This window comes from Homo sapiens, chromosome 20 (assembly GCF_000001405.40).
Source record: "Homo sapiens chromosome 20, GRCh38.p14 Primary Assembly".
Taxonomy (NCBI): domain Eukaryota; kingdom Metazoa; phylum Chordata; class Mammalia; order Primates; family Hominidae; genus Homo; species Homo sapiens.
Window position 1 is genome coordinate 44,744,691 of NC_000020.11, and position 15,680 is coordinate 44,760,370.

A 15,680-nucleotide genomic window follows, 5' to 3' on the forward strand; every position below is an offset into this window, starting at 1 on the left:
TGTTCCATGAGCTAAAGCTTGGTCACATAGACCCTGCTAAGTGCAAGAAAGGCTGGGCAATGTGGCCAGCTGGGCGCCCAACTCCACCTCCCCGGTGCATCCCGGATCCCCTCATTTCTCTCCATCTTCACACATTTGGACTACACTAGCCTTCGAACTGGCCTCCACTCCTAGCCACCATCCCTTTTCCCCATGACAGCCAGGGGCTCTTTAAAAAATATGAATCAGATCATTGTGGTGGTGTTGCGTGTGTGTTTGTTTGCCTGTGTTTGTAATACAGCCTTTCCATGGCTTTCAATAAACCCACATAAGGGCTTGTAAGACCCTGTGTGAAGTTGCCTCTTTGCCTTCCTTCTGCTCCCCCAAAGTATCTGCCCCCCAGTTCTCTGGGCTCCAGCGACACCGGCTCCTCTGCTATTCTGGCTGCCAAGTCATGCTCAGTTCTGTTTTAAGCACCACCTTAGATGGTGGGGTTCACCTTCCCCAAGAAACTATCCCTTTTCCTTCTTTCTCACTCCTGTCTTAAATTAGTTTCTTGTTTGTTAGCTGGCCCTCCTCACTAGGATATCACTTTTACTTACAACAGGAATGTTGTTTGCACCAGTAGGTGCTTGGTAAATATTTGTCAGAGGATTGACTGACTGAATGAAAGAAGGAAGGAAGGAGAGAAGGAAGGGAAGAAGAGATGAAGGGACGAAGGGAGGAAGGGAGGGACGGAGGGAGGAAGGGAGGGACGGAGGGAGGAAGGGAGGGACGGAGGGAGGAAGGATGGGAGGGAAGAAGGGAGGGAGGGATGGGGAAAGGAGTGAAAGGAAGGAAGGAAGGAAAGGAGGGAGGGAGGGAGGAAGGGAGGGGAGGGGGGAGGGGAGGGAGGGAAAAAGGAAGGAAGGAAGGACGGAAGGAAGGACGGAAGACTGGCACGAGGTCACAACATGAGTTAGTGGCGGGAACAGGACTTCTGCAGGCCCGGGGTTTGGGCCTTTGCTTCAGATCTCACTATTCACAGACACATGAACCCCGGGCAGGCGAGTGGGAGGCGGACAGGGGAGCGGTTCTTCCGGCCCCCACCCGTGGCGATCCCAGCCTCCAGGTTCCCGGCAGTCGCCCCGCCTCGCCCGTCACAACCCTGCCGCGTGGGGCCGGGGTTGGAGGGGGCGGAGCGCGCGGTCCGGGCACACGGAGCAGGTTGGGACCGCGGCGGGTACCGGGGCCGGGGCGCCATGCGGAGGCCGAGCGTGCGCGCGGCCGGGCTGGTCCTGTGCACCCTGTGTTACCTGCTGGTGGGCGCTGCTGTCTTCGACGCGCTCGAGTCCGAGGCGGAAAGCGGCCGCCAGCGACTGCTGGTCCAGAAGCGGGGCGCTCTCCGGAGGAAGTTCGGCTTCTCGGCCGAGGACTACCGCGAGCTGGAGCGCCTGGCGCTCCAGGCTGAGCCCCACCGCGCCGGCCGCCAGTGGAAGTTCCCCGGCTCCTTCTACTTCGCCATCACCGTCATCACTACCATCGGTGAGCCGCCCGGAGCCTCCCTCCGCGCCCGCTCCAGCCCCAGCCGTCCCGGGGCGCCTCTGGGTTTCGGTCCCACCTCTGCCCCCGCCCAGCTGAGCTACTTTGGACGGGTCATTTCGGCTCACCGAGCCTCCCTCATCTCCTTCGCCTCCCTCGTCTCCCTGGTCTCCTTTGCCCCCCTCTGCTGAATGGAGCTGTCAGCCCACGCAGGCAGGGACGGGAGGAATCAGTAAATCGAGTTTGCCAAAAGGCTGACCCAGGAGTGCTCAGAAAACGTCCAAGGGGCTTGGAGATAGGTGAAGCGGGGCTGGGAGACCAAGTGGCTGGATTTGCTTTTCCTTGCCTGGTTGCCTCACACTTGCTGTGTGACCTTAGACGAGTTGCTCAACCTCTCTGAGCCAGAGTTTTCTCTTCTGTAAAATAGTGTCGCTAATCGGCCTTATCTCAGGGCTGTGGTGAGAGTTATTATTCAGGAGACAGACTATGCACAGACAAGGCCTGTGCTAAAACATGACACATACAGAGCACTACAAAGAAAAGATCATTTTTTTATTATTGCAATTGTTATTGTTACCCCATGAGAATGGGGACCCAGTCTGTCTTAGGGACTGCTGTATGACCCGTGCCTAGCATGCAGTAGATGATCAATAAATACTTGTTAAAGGAATGACTGATAACCACAGGCTCTGGACTCTGCCCTCAGGGATGCAGAGCAGTTCCTTTGGAGCATCTGGACCACCAGCTGTTGCCATGACTACCATCTGGCTGGTACCTGCTGAGCCTAAACCTGGGGGAACAGGAAGGAGAGAAGTGGGCTCTGCAGGGCTCCAGGCTTGGTGCCAGCCACTCCCCAGGCTCCAGCTGTGAACGTCCCGGCACCCCCCCTGGGGCTTGGATCACCAGTCCGAAAGCCAGTGCCTTGGAGAAAGTTTCCCCATAATGCTCTTGCAAGTGAATATGAGCTGTGGTTTTTGCAGTGGAGTTAAAAGTATGAGTTCTGGAATCACAGAGACTGGAGTTCTGGTCTCATCTCTATTGCCACCTGCCTTCTCTGGCAATTGATTCCACCTGTCCAAGCCCTGGTTTCCCCAAAGGCAAAATGCAATTGTTCCTACCTCACTGGGTGACTGCCAGGTTTCAGTGAGGTCAAGCATGTAACATGCTTGGCACAGTGCCTGAAGCCAAGTAGGCACTATTCATTTGTAATAATTCATTATTTGCCAACGTGGCTCCAGCTCTTATTCAGCTCTTTTGCCCCCTCCTGTCCACATGGACACCCCTGCTTCCTATCTTGGTACACCTGAGACCCTCCTGGTTACCGTGCCCACTGGTCTGGGATGCCATCAACTTGTTCTCTCTGCCTTTATCTACATTCTTTGGAGGCTTGCCATGTGGTTTTGGCCTCTTACCCTGGTTCTTTACCTCTGAGGTACGTCTGGGAGGCTGATGTAAGAGACTCAAGTGGAAACAGGAGGAATTTTGCCTTTTCTGGCCACTTGGGGGCACCACCACCCTCTGTGGTCTAGTCCGCTGAAGCCAGCCTTGCAGAGAGCCAGGTGCCAGGCCCCAGGAATTTGGGCTTTGCTTGGATGGGAGAGAGGCACTGAAGCAATGGAGGGTGCTGGTTAATAGCTCAGGCCTGTGGAGGGTGCTGGTTAATAGCTCAGGCCCGTGGAGGGTGCTGGTTAATAGTTCAGGCCCATGGAGGGTGCTGGTTAATAGCTCAGGCCTGTGGAGGGTGCTGGTTAATAGCTCAGGCCTGTGGCCTTTGGGCAGTTTTGTCCCTCTGAACCTAGTTTTCTTATCTATAAAATGGGAATAACAACATGTCATATAGTCATTGGGAGGGTTAAATCTGATAATCCATGCAGAGTACATACATGGGTTAGTTACTGTCATTATTAGTTATTATCATTATTCATTTCACTCTCTGCCAAAACCTGGCACAGTCCCAAACAGCTGGAAGCCTTTTATTCCTAAAGAGACTCTTCTGTTTCTCACCAGCACCCCCTTCAGCTTGGTTTGATTCAATAAACTCTCATTGAGCTTCTGGTCTACGTCAGGCTCTGTGCAGGACCTTGGTGATGGGGACTACACCACCATCGTCCCCGCCCTCAAAGAGCTCAAAGTCTAGTGATGAGCAGACCCCCTTTCTCCCAAAAGTAACAGAGAGGCAAAGTGATAGGGCTATGCAACAGAAATGTGGAAGTGCAGCCACAGGCCTTTAAATGTATGTAGTGCTGATATTCTGAATAAGTTATATATGCACACAGTACACACTTCACAGGGCACAAAAGGGTATGGAATGAAAAGGAATTCTCCCTCCCACCCTGTCTCTCAGCTCATAAATTCCTCTTCCTGGGTCAAATACAGTTGCCAGTTTCTTGTGTGTCCTTCTGGATATATTCTCTGCCTATATATTCCTTTAAAACACACACATTGTATAGACGTTATACACACAGTTTTGTCTCTTACTTTTTTCACTTATAGAATATATGTTGATGTTTTTATGTCAGTCTCTAAAGAGCTGCGTCATCTTGTTTGTAGGGTTTCTCAGCATTGGAACTACTGACATTTGGGGCTGTGGGGACTGTCCTGTGCATTGCAAGATGTTTAGCAGTGTCCCTGGCCTCTACTCTCTAGATGCCAGTAGCACACAGCCATCCCCACTCCTCACCCCCATTTGTGACAACCAGAATGTCTCCAGATGTTGCCAAGTGTCCCCTCAAAGGCAAAACCACCCTCGATTGAGAACTGCTACTCTGTAGTATCCCATGGTTTGGATGGCACTATAATTTATTTAACCAGGCCCCTTTGGATGGACACTTACATTGTTTCTCATTTTCGCTATGACCGACAATGCTGCAATGACGACCCAAGTGCACACATATTTTTGCTCATGTGTGTATATTGAAGGGCTAACTTCCTAACTGTGGAACTACCTTGGTCAAAGGATTTGTATTTTTTACTTTTTGGCAGGTAGGGCCAATCTGTTAGAGGAGGCGCATTCTTCTTGGCCTCCTGACTCTTCCTGGCGTACAGGCTCCTTTGAGAATACCATGAAAGCAACTGCTCCTCTTTCCAGGAAAAGACACACAATGAGATACCCATTCATTCCCCTGCAATGGCGCGGTGTTCCAGGACTCAAGATTGCCCAGTCGTGTTTAGATTCCCTATAGTAGTTGAAGGGACCCAGTAAGAATCGCCACGCCAGACAATCAGAACCAAAAGGTGTTCAGTGCGGGCAGGCTGAGCAGTGGAGGGGGAGGTAGTCAGGAGAAAAGGCATGTGGAGAGGACATGCTGACTGGGGAAGCAGCTCGGGGTGTAGCTGGAAAGTGGGGAAAGTTTTGCTTTTTTTTCATCAAGGCATAATTTACATACAGTAGAACTCACCATTTTCCTGTGTACACTCCTGACAGATGAACACCTGCCGCGTAACTGCAGCCACGGTCAAGACGGAACATTGCCATCAACCCCCAAAATTCTACCATGCCTTCTGTAGTTAAGCCTGCCCCCAACCCCAGCTACTGGCAAGCAACCACAGATCTGTTCTCTGTTGCCACAGTTTTGTCATTTCCAGAGTGTCATTTATAGGGAACCATGCGGTCTGTAGGCTTTCGAGCTCGTCTTCCTCTACTCAGCTTAGACATTTGAGATCCATCCTTGGTTGCCGCAAGTTACAGGAGTTCATTCAGTTGCTGAAAAAAATTGGTGTTTGGATGCCCCACAGGTTGTTTATCCATTCCCCAGTCGAGGGACACTTGGGTTGTCTGAAGTTTGGGGTGATGAATGACCTAGTTAGGACTAGTATTTGGAGATGCCCTTCCAGCCCCGGGGACGGGGAGGGACACGCCGGGCAGGCAGGCTGCGGGCGGGACTGTTGTCAGCTGGAGCTGGGCGCTCACAGCCCTCCCCTCCGCTCTCCCTGCATAGAGTACGGCCACGCCGCGCCGGGTACGGACTCCGGCAAGGTCTTCTGCATGTTCTACGCGCTCCTGGGCATCCCGCTGACGCTGGTCACTTTCCAGAGCCTGGGCGAACGGCTGAACGCGGTGGTGCGGCGCCTCCTGTTGGCGGCCAAGTGCTGCCTGGGCCTGCGGTGGACGTGCGTGTCCACGGAGAACCTGGTGGTGGCCGGGCTGCTGGCGTGTGCCGCCACCCTGGCCCTCGGGGCCGTCGCCTTCTCGCACTTCGAGGGCTGGACCTTCTTCCACGCCTACTACTACTGCTTCATCACCCTCACCACCATCGGCTTCGGCGACTTCGTGGCACTGCAGAGCGGCGAGGCGCTGCAGAGGAAGCTCCCCTACGTGGCCTTCAGCTTCCTCTACATCCTCCTGGGGCTCACGGTCATTGGCGCCTTCCTCAACCTGGTGGTCCTGCGCTTCCTCGTTGCCAGCGCCGACTGGCCCGAGCGCGCTGCCCGCACCCCCAGCCCGCGCCCCCCGGGGGCGCCCGAGAGCCGTGGCCTCTGGCTGCCCCGCCGCCCGGCCCGCTCCGTGGGCTCCGCCTCTGTCTTCTGCCACGTGCACAAGCTGGAGAGGTGCGCCCGCGACAACCTGGGCTTTTCGCCCCCCTCGAGCCCGGGGGTCGTGCGTGGCGGGCAGGCTCCCAGGCTTGGGGCCCGGTGGAAGTCCATCTGACAACCCCACCCAGGCCAGGGTCGAATCTGGAATGGGAGGGTCTGGCTTCAGCTATCAGGGCACCCTCCCCAGGGATTGGAAACGGATGACGGGCCTCTAGGCGGTCTTCTGCCACGAGCAGTTTCTCATTACTGTCTGTGGCTAAGTCCCCTCCCTCCTTTCCAAAAATATATTACAGTCACACCATAAGCACAAACCAGGCTCCAGGGTCACCCTGTAGGAGCAAATTCCTTGTAGTCCAAATTGTATGAGGGCGTGGCCACATCAGCACTTAGGAGAGGCTCTGCACAGGTCCACCTCAGAGCCGACCCTCCAGAGCAACTTTTCTGTTGTGAAGAGGCTGGTTTTCTGAGTAACGGTTGAAATGTGCAACTTTCAACACTGGAATCTTCGCTGCAATTAGTGAGGTCAGATGCTCACACTACGAGAAGCATGGGGAACAAAGGTGGACCAAATGGGACCGTGTACAGTCCAGTGTTGACAAGGGGGTCAATCTCTTGCGCTAAACGATCTCATTCTCTGCCCAGTGTATAGAGTGGAATCAGCCCATGTGTGAATGATGGCCTCTTTCCCCCAGACAGCTGATGCTCTTTGTCCCTGGCCAGCCCCACTTCAGGATGAGGGAGGCCTTGCTGTCACCCACCCACCATGTCACTGGGGCCACTTGGACACAGCAGAATGCCATGGGACGAGCTCTCTTCCGGGTCCTGTCAATCACCAGCAATATGACCTTGGAGAATCGCATCCTCTCCCAGGGCCTCAGTTTCCACATCTGTAGAATGACGGGGTTCATCCAGAACCCTGCTCCCTCTTACGCATCTCTGGCAGGACTTTCTGGAACAGGCCCCTGCACCATAAGGGGGCAGAGACAAAGCCCGAGGTGTGGCATCCTGGCACCCCGTGGCACTCAGCCACTTCCCCTGGCTTCCCAGATAGGGCTGTCTCAACACAAAGCATGAACGAGCCAGGTTAGAAAAGCCAAAAACTTTAATTTCAACATGAGCTACATGGTCATGAACACAATGCAACGCGACCCCACTCCAACCCAAGGGCCCCAGAAACCCTCCCTCCCTAAAGGCCTGGGCGGCTGCTGCTCCAAGAGAGGGAATGAGGGAAAGGTGGGTGGATGGAGAGAGGCCCCCAGCCTAAGGACCCAGGCTCCTGCCTTCCCACCACCCGTCCAGGAAGCAGTCATAAAGTGAAAGGGCTCCAGAGGTGATGCTCACAGCCCTGGGTTCGGCTCCATTCTGACCTCCCTGAAGCGCTGGGTTAGACGGGCACCATCAGCCCACCTCACAGGCTCGGCGTCGGGTGAGCTCGTGGACGCTAATGCTTTCTGTCCACTCTGAGGTGCTGCTCCAGATGTGGGGCCCTCCCAGAGGGCCTCGGAGACACCATAGGGGAACAGGGAGAGGGGCTCGGTCCCTGGGCCTGACACAGCACTGCTGCTCAATAAATAAATGCAGGTGACCTTGCCTGACGCAACAGCTGTGCCTCCAGAGGGGGTGGGACTCGGTACTGTTTCTGACACGGAAATGCACCCAGGAGCTCCTGGCTGAAGGGAATTGGCTTGTGAAGTACATAACCACCCCCTAAGCCACCTGCTCCACCTCTGGGTGTAAAAGAGTGAGCTCTGGGCTGTTGGAGAACCGAGTTCCAGTCCTGCCCACCCACTAACACAGTGGGACCTCAGGCAAGCACTTTCCCCTCCCAGGACCTCAGCTCCCTGCTTTGAAATGGGGATGACGGCACAGGCCACCACCTACTCCCCAGGGGCTCTTGTGAGGGCCGAAGGGCACACTCGAGATAAAAGCATTCTGAAAACAAAGTCTGAAAAGCACAACAGGAAGGCCAGGTCTCACTGCATCTGAAGGTTTGGGGAGGACTTGCCTGAAATGAGGCGCCCACAGCTGCTCCCATTCCCTCACTGCCCCAGGCAGGAGCTGGTGTTTCCTAACTCTCCCTCCAGTTGGTCCTGAAGAGGCTATGGCCCCTTACAAGGGCCCTCCACCCAGGCATCAAGGTCTAGACCCAATCCTGTGTACCCTCAGTCAGCTGGGCCAGCCCCCAAGGAGAGCTGAGTCTCCCTGGCAACCCTCTCCCCCAGACCCAGGCCCAGAGAAGTCACTGGTTTATAGAGGTGGAGCCCAGTAGGGCTGTGCAGCCCAGGGCTTCGAGGCCAGGAATCCTTGTCCCAGCAGACATGCACTGGAGCAACGGTCTCCTGTCGCCTGAAGAACAATGGAGCCCCTAGTTCTTCCCCCTTTGCACCCTTGCTGAGGGGTCTTGTGTGAGTCACTTCCTGTTTCTGGGCCTCAGTTTCCCAACCTCTCAGATGGGCTACAGCTTGTCCTGCCCATCTTTTGGGGGGCCATTAGGCTTCAAAGAAAGAAGGGAGGAGGAGGTATGGGCAGTGGCAGCCCCACCTCATACTGCCCTGGCTCCGGCTCAGCCTCTATTGGGAGGAGGGGACCCAGGCTGGGGGTGCCACTGAACACACAGGTGACTCCAGGGGTGGCTTTTCCCCCAAGCTGGGTCTTGATTTCCTTGTCTGTAAAATGGAAATGGACTAATGGTCCCAAAGGCCCTTCAAGGGGGTTCTGGAGAAGGAGAGTGGAGATGGCTCCTTCCCATGGTATCCTGCATGTGATCTTGGCCCAGAGATTGAAAACAGTCATCCCCTGGAGACCCCAGCCCCCCAGTGGCCCCTAGTGCCAGCCTCTCTGCTCCTCTTCAAACAGTGCAGCCTGAGTCAGCAAGGGGCCAGGCAGTAGCGGGGACAGGATGGGCTTGAAGCTTCTCCGAAGCTAATGATGAAAATGTCACTCTCCTCCCCAAACCCCCATCCCTTGGTGAGGACAGACCGTAGTTCCCACACCCAATGGTCACAGCCCCTGGGAAGGGGCACATGCTCACGATGACACAAAGAAACAGGGCTCCAGCCCCCAGCTGCTCCACCCCTCCAGGAGGTGAGCGGGATTTCACAGAACAAACAAGAAAATCATTGAGGGGGCCCTCACTGACCACCCCCAGGTGTTGTTATTGCTTCGGAGCTCTCTCTCTCTTTATAAAGGCTGTGCAGACACCAGGGGAAGGGCTCAGGCTGTCAGGGCCAAGCCCCTGCTCCCCCTGGTTGGGACAGCCAGGCTCTGCCCTGTTTTTGAAAAGCTACCCCTGAACAACCACAGCGGTGATGGCTGGAGAGAGAAGGCGCTCTCCTGGCTCAAAATATTCCAATGGTAAGTAATAAACGAACAGCAGAGAAATCACACTGGTTAGAAAAACAAACAGGCAAGGGGCCAATTCTGTGCCTTGAATGCGAATCCCTCCAGAGCCCTGCTCCTTCCACCCCCAGCCTTGGGATTCCACCCACCGCGGTCCCAGGAAACTCTGAAGACCTCCTGGGTAAAGGGGGCGTCTCCATCTCCCCTTCCCAGTGCAGGGTAAGCAGCTCTGTGGAGGTGATATACATTGACCAGAACTTTAAAGAATACCCAGGGTTTCCACAGGCTAAGGGAAGGGAAGAATTTCCGGGTGGAAGGAGTTGCCTGGTGGGACTGGGACCGGGACCGGGACCAGGAACAGGGTGGGACCAAAGGCAGCCTGGGTGTCCTCAGGAGAAAACAACACCCTCTAATGGAGACCAGGCCCCCTCTGCCAAGGTCCTACAACCCTTAGGAGTCCCTCATAAAGAAAGTCAGTACCAAGAATAATAAATCAGAACAGCCGAGTATAACAGGCAGCTCCAGCTATAACCCTACGGGGACAAGGGAAGGAAGGGGGCGGAGGAGGAGGGGCTGGCCTCCTGTGAGCCAGGCTGCCCCATCTAGGCCCAGGCCAGCGAGGAGACAGTGGTCTCCTGGAATGTACTTGAGGCTCCTCTCCACCCCCGGTCCTGGGACTCTGTAAGGACTATGCATGAGCTAAGAACAGGCCCCAGGGCTTGGAGCACTAACTCTACCTAGCTAACCTGGACTACGCCCTACACAGCAGGGACTAGGTAAAGAGTGGCAGGCTTCTGGGTGCCTCCCAGGGGAGGTGGCAGAAATGTGCTTCTATAAAGAGGGGCCAGCCTCCATCCTCCCTTGCATGCAAAAGGGCTCCCGCAGGCCCCAGGGAGGGCTGGGCTGGGAAGGCAGCTACCCAGGCCTGCTGGAAAAGGAATCTCCCAGTTCTTACACTCACGCCTCTTCACTTTTCTCTCCTACCGCCATCTTTCCTTCAGCCAAGGTAATTGAGGCCGGGGCAGTGGGTTCTGCCCTTAGTATAGGATGTTTTTTTTAAAAAGACTAAAATAGGGGGGCTCTATTTGCCTCCCCAGCCCCCTGGCCTGGAGGCAGGGTGGGTAGACAGGATGACCATTGACCTCATGCAACAAGGAGGGGTTCTCCAATTTGAGAAACCCTTATCTTGGCACCACCAGTCCCAATCCCAACTTTCCTTAGCCTCCCCCTCCAATACAGCACCCCCAAATGCTCTCTAGGGTTGGGGTTCTGGAAACTCAGGTTCCACAGCTCCTCCACCGGAACACAGACGACAACATTCTTTCTAGTCCGCCAGCGGTTCCTAAACTAGCTTGTTGCAATCCCATGGAGCGAGGCACCTAGGGGTCTGTGCCAGGCCCCCGGCACCTCCTCCTTTCCTTTGGTCCCTGCTGAACCCCAATTCCTAGAGCCACCAGAAGAGGGGCAGGCAGGAGGGGACGGACGGATGGACTCGGACAGGCTGCGGCAAAGCTCCTTCCACGGGCAGGCAGAGGGAAGCTCAAGCTCCTCTTCAAGTGGGGGGCTCTGGGCCCCTGGGAGCTGGCTCCGGATCCTTGCAAAGCTGCCCCTTCATCTCTGGGGCAGGAGTAGCTGCCTGAACCCGGTGCCGCAGGAAAGACACTTGCTGGTAATTGGCACCATGGAGATGGCCGGCTGGGTTCTGGACATGGCTCTGGGCAGCGAGCTTCCGAGGAGGCAAAAAGGGGGAGAAGTTGGACAGTTTGGGAAGGGAGAGTGGTCTGCTCTGCCACCTCAATCTTTCCTTTCTCTGGACTGCAGCCACATCCACCAGGTCAAGAACCGGCCAAGTCAAAAGTGTAGCCAATCCCGTTGGGAGAGGGGAGGTCTCGGGGGTAGGAGGCAAAGAAGGGGTGAGGAGGGGCCCAAGGGGGGGCAGGTCTCCCCGTTCTGCTTCCCCACTGTGGGGGAGAGCCCCGTCCTCCTGTTCAATGTGCCCCTGGGCCTGGGGTCCCAGGTCAGGGCTGGGTGGTCTCCAGGCCATCTTGGGGAGCCCCTCCCCATTCCAGCACTAAGATCGTTCTCCGCAGGGCCCCACGGTGCTCTCGAGGGACAACTGGGATGCCTGCCGGAGCAGGGGGCCTGTGGCTGGGTCCACCATGGAGGAGGTGGGGAAGAGCTTGTACCAGCCCACGGCCAGGGTGGTCAAGTCCAGCTCCTCCAGCAGCACGCGAGCCACACCCATGAACTGCTTCCGCTCCATCCGCCCGTAGTTCCCCCACACGATCACCTGTGGGGCAAGAGACACAGTGGTTCAAATCCTGCCAGTGCCACTCACAGGCCCAGAAGCAGAACCTGGGTCGCCCCATGCCCAATCCAGCTCAGTCCTGTGATTTCTACCTCCTTAAAACTGCAATTCCTCAACAGGCCTTTCTTATCACGGGGCATCACACCAAGCCCCTGGCCTCCAGAGGCTGTTGATGGTAATGGTGACGGTGACGATGGTAATGGGTAGAACACTTGCTGTAGGCAAAACTGCAAATACTTTTCCTGCACACAGCACACATTCCACTGGCACCAGAATGTTATCAGGTAGGTACTATTAGGGTCCCCGCTTTACAGATGAAGGAACTGAGGGTCAGAAGGGAACTTGTTCAAAGTTGTGCAGTAAGTTGTGGAGCTCAGTTCAGCCACAGTGAACTGAGGGCCTCGCCTGTTTCCTCCAGGCGAGGCCCTCCAGAGACACCCCCCGCCAGGGGTGCCCTCCTCTCATTCTGGTACTGTGCATGTGTGCTCGTGCACACACACACACGTGAGCGCGTCAATGCCCCTCACCTGGAGGACTTTGCCCTGGGGACTCTCAGGAAACAGCAGCACCTGGTTATACAGTGGGTCCAGCGACTTGCGAGCGACTTTGGTCTTCTTCTTGGCAATGCAGATGCCATTCTCTAGCAGGTAGGCCTTGATGTAGGCCGCTGGGGATAGAGGCCAGCAGGGGTGAGTTCTAGTTTGGCCCTCAAATGGTGGGCAAAGGGTGCAACAGAGGGAGGCTGCCCACCCTCTGCTGGAGATAGGTGTGCCCCCATGGGGTCTGGGGAGGACGCACCAGGACACATGGGGGGTGGGCATTTGGGGGCAGCAGGTACAGCTGGGCTTGGGTGCAGCCTGCCCCACCTCCTCTGGTGGTCCTCACTGTCTCCACCCTTCCTTTGCTCACTCTGTGCTCACCTGTTTCCTCTCTCAGTCCATAATGTGCCCACCCCCTCCCTGGCTTATGCATCTATCTGCTGACCCCCTCACTCACCAAGCCTGAGCACCTACTGCATGCCAAGAACCCTGCTAGGCACTGGGGTATAATGATAAGCTGGAAAGATGGTCCCTGCCTTCCAGGAGCTCAGTCCAGTGGAGGAGAGGAACAAGGTCAACAGACAATCTCAACTGGCTCTTCAAACAAACCCTAAACTACCAATTCCACATAAGACATCAGAGTTGGGACAGGGGGTCCCCACAGTTGGGCCCAATTTTCTCTCTTCAAGGCCCTCAGTACCCATCAGGATATCCTCCCTGACCTCCACCCCCACCTTGCAGGGGAAGGTAGGCCCCAGACCTGGCAGTGTCTTGGAGCCTGGCTTGGCTGTCAGTCCCCGAGCCTGGATAATGTCCACCTCCAACTGACCGTTCCGCTCCTGCAGACCGATCTCCACATCCCCTGGAAGAGGCACCAAGAGATGAGACTGGGAAATGGTTCAGAAGCTCAAGCTTGGACTCAGCTCTTCTCCTTTACTTAGGGCTGAAACCCCCTTCCCCTGCTCCCAGCCCAGAATAAGACCAGAACCAACTCCCACCAAGTGCCTAGGCTCTGCTGAGGGCTTGAGAGTGTGCCCTGGGCTCTAGGCGGCATGCGCAGAGGATGGATCAACAGGCAAAGGGGAAGGAGGGAGAGACGCTGAGCTTCTGGTGTGACACCCAACTCCCCTAGTCCATTTGAAACCAGCCTTGGGGCACTCACCCATGGGTGTGGTGGCCAGGGTCTGGCGGCCCACAAACTGTGCCGGCCCCATGCTTCCCAGGAAGTCACTGAACTGGGCGTCCGACGCCAGGCAAACTCCTCCATAGTTAAGGCTGCAAGAGGAAAAGGTGAGACAAAGCACACATTCCCAGTGGTTTACCAACAACTCTGGACTCAAGCAGTCAACCTCCATGCAATGGATATGCTGAAACTTCCCTCTTGGGATGGAGATAAGGTTTACCCAGTATCTGGCTCATGTGGTTTAGTGCCTTGATACTCAAAGTGTGGTTCAGAGACCAGCAGCATCAGCATCACCTGGGAACTAATTAGATACATAGAACTGCAGCCCACTCCACCCCCAGCTGCTGAATCAGAATCTGAATTTTAATGCGAGCCCCAGATGATGCCCTTGCACGTGAAAGTGTGAGCTGCACTGCAAACGGCTCTAGACTCTGAGGGGTGCATTTCTTGCGGCTGCTTGGCTACCTAATATCCACTTCCCCTTCCTCTGGTAACAAGATCTCAAATTTTCTTTACGGAACCCCCTCCCCGTGGCACATGATCACAGTGGGGTGGAGGGAACAGCTCCTGAGACTGGGCCTCCAGCTCAGCCTGGCCAATCAGGGCATCCCTTCCCCTCGGCCAGTGATCAGCTCAGAGACAGGCATGTAGCCCAGTTCAGCCAACAAGAATCAGGCCTGGAAGCTTTGTTTGAACTATGGGGAGTGAGACGCTCTCTTTCCCACCAGACTTGAGCCTGAGATGCAGGACTGGAGCTTCTGGTGCTATGTAGCTACCATCTGGATCCCGAGAATGAAACCATCAAAATGACAGCATTGTGTGAGCTCCTGGATCAAGCTCTGCCTGAAGCAAGCTACTTCATCTTTTGGTTACGTTAAGTCAATATCAACAGCAACAACAAAGATAATTTTATTATTTTGCCTAAGACAGCTTTAGTCAGTTCTCCCCACTCCCTTCACTTCTCTAAGTATCTCTTTCCCATCTGTGAAATGGGAATAATAATGTTCCCATCTCCTAGGTCTGTTGTATTAAGTGCGATGAGGCACTAAGTACCATGCCTGATGTGCCTCTGTTATCCTGAGCACCAAAGCACTTGCAACCCATTTTCTCATCTGATCCTCACCACAACCACAGGAGGTTTTTTTTGTTGTTGTTCTGGTTTTTGTTTTTTTTTTGAGACAGAGTTTCCCTCTGTTGCCCAGTCTGGAGTGCAGTGGCACGGTCTTGGCTCATTGCAGCTTCGAACTCCTGGGTTTAAGCGTTTAAGCAATTCTCATGCCTCAGCCTCCCAAGTAGCTGGGAATACAGACGTGTACCACCACGCCCGGCCAATTTTTGTGTTTTTTAGTAGAGACAGAGTTTCATCACATTGGCCAGGCTGGTCTCCAACCCCTGGCCTCACGTGATCCACCCACCTCGACCTCCCAAAGTGCTGGGATTACAGGGGTGAGCCACCACGCCTAGCCCAAGAGGTTGGCTTTTGATCTTTATCACCATCTTTTAAATAAGAAACACATTTGCCCAGCAAAAGGGTGACCCTATTCCCTGGCCAGAGATGAGGCATACAGAGTCAGAGGCTTAACCCAAGCCAGGCCAATCAAAACCTCTCTCTGGGAAATAAAAAAGAGAATCCTGGAGACTAAAAGTCACAAGAACTGAGCCATATAAATGGCCTGCCCTCAGGCAAAACCCATAAACTCTACTAGCTACCCAGTCTTGGCTGCCCGATTCTTCCCTGAACCATTTGAAGTCCCCCAGTGTTCTGTTTTTACTTAAGTTATCTGCAGAGTTAATGGCAGAATATTCAGCCTGAGTGCTTTCCCTTTTCCTGATTTCCTACTACCCCTGGCTTGCTTTCCCCATTCAGACAGTAGCCAGGGTGTCCTATGTTGGCTGCCTCAGAGAAGGAATGACCCAGCAGGAGGTAGAGAGCAAGAGACTTGGGCTCTTGACTTTTCAGTTCCAAATCTAAGAAACAGACTTGAAAGAATAGGTACAAAACTAGGCTATCCTGCCCCGAAACAGACAAACCCTCAGCCTGGGAGAGCAGAGGAAGTCAGGCAAGGAGGGAACAGAGCTGAGATGCTGCAGGATCCTTGAGGACGGTCTGTAGTCTGCAGCTGGTGAGTGCTGGGGGATGACAGAAAACTCCAGATAGGCTGGGGGGATCTGAAAGCAGAGGAGACTTGCACTTACTCTTCTTATTGGGTGGAGCTAAGAAAAGGGCAGAACACTTTACAGAAATGGCTACTTGGGCTTCTTGTCAAGTAACCCCCTG

General features: G+C 54.9%; 2 protein-coding genes and 1 long non-coding RNA gene across 4 annotated transcripts in view, besides 2 other annotated features; 1 reads left to right on the forward strand and 2 right to left on the reverse strand.

The window, feature by feature from the left end:
* The window catches only part of KCNK15-AS1 (KCNK15 and WISP2 antisense RNA 1), a 34,366-nt gene extending 32,829 nt beyond the window's left edge, over nt 1-1,537 (reverse strand). Inside the window, exon 1 of the long non-coding RNA NR_132377.1 lies at nt 1,275-1,537. This is a non-coding gene — a long non-coding RNA (KCNK15 and WISP2 antisense RNA 1). The remainder of the gene's footprint in view (nt 1-1,274) is intronic.
* Nucleotides 1,175-7,623, forward strand: KCNK15 (potassium two pore domain channel subfamily K member 15). Its single transcript, NM_022358.4, has 2 exons — nt 1,175-1,503; nt 5,439-7,623. The coding sequence occupies exons 1-2, from the start codon at nt 1,221-1,223 to the stop codon at nt 6,146-6,148; spliced, it is 993 nt and encodes a 330-aa protein (NP_071753.2). The 5' UTR covers nt 1,175-1,220; the 3' UTR covers nt 6,149-7,623.
* Nucleotides 7,118-15,680, reverse strand: part of RIMS4 (regulating synaptic membrane exocytosis 4) — a 58,739-nt gene continuing 50,176 nt past the window's right edge. For both annotated transcript variants that reach the window (NM_182970.4, NM_001205317.2), the window contains exons 3-6: nt 13,382-13,494; nt 12,980-13,081; nt 12,208-12,347; nt 7,118-11,662 (exon numbers count right to left, since the gene is read on the reverse strand). In NM_182970.4, the coding sequence (NP_892015.1) occupies nt 11,444-11,662; nt 12,208-12,347; nt 12,980-13,081; nt 13,382-13,494 (574 nt within the window). In that variant the 3' untranslated portion in view covers nt 7,118-11,443. The remainder of the gene's footprint in view (nt 11,663-12,207; nt 12,348-12,979; nt 13,082-13,381; nt 13,495-15,680) is intronic.
* Nucleotides 7,251-7,798: an enhancer, noted in NCBI's record as "H3K4me1 hESC enhancer chr20:43380582-43381129 (GRCh37/hg19 assembly coordinates)". NCBI's record gives its function as "activates a minimal SCP1, AML or CMV promoter by ChIP-STARR-seq in naive H9 embryonic stem cells {active_cell/tissue: H9 hESC(naive)}" and the evidence as "EXISTENCE:reporter gene assay evidence [ECO:0000049][PMID:30033119]".
* Nucleotides 12,046-13,245: an enhancer, noted in NCBI's record as "BRD4-independent group 4 enhancer chr20:43385377-43386576 (GRCh37/hg19 assembly coordinates)". NCBI's record gives its function as "activates an origin of replication core promoter dependent on BRD2, P300/CBP, MED14 and CDK7 cofactors, and independent of BRD4, by STARR-seq in HCT116 cells {active_cell/tissue: HCT116}" and the evidence as "EXISTENCE:reporter gene assay evidence [ECO:0000049][PMID:35650434]".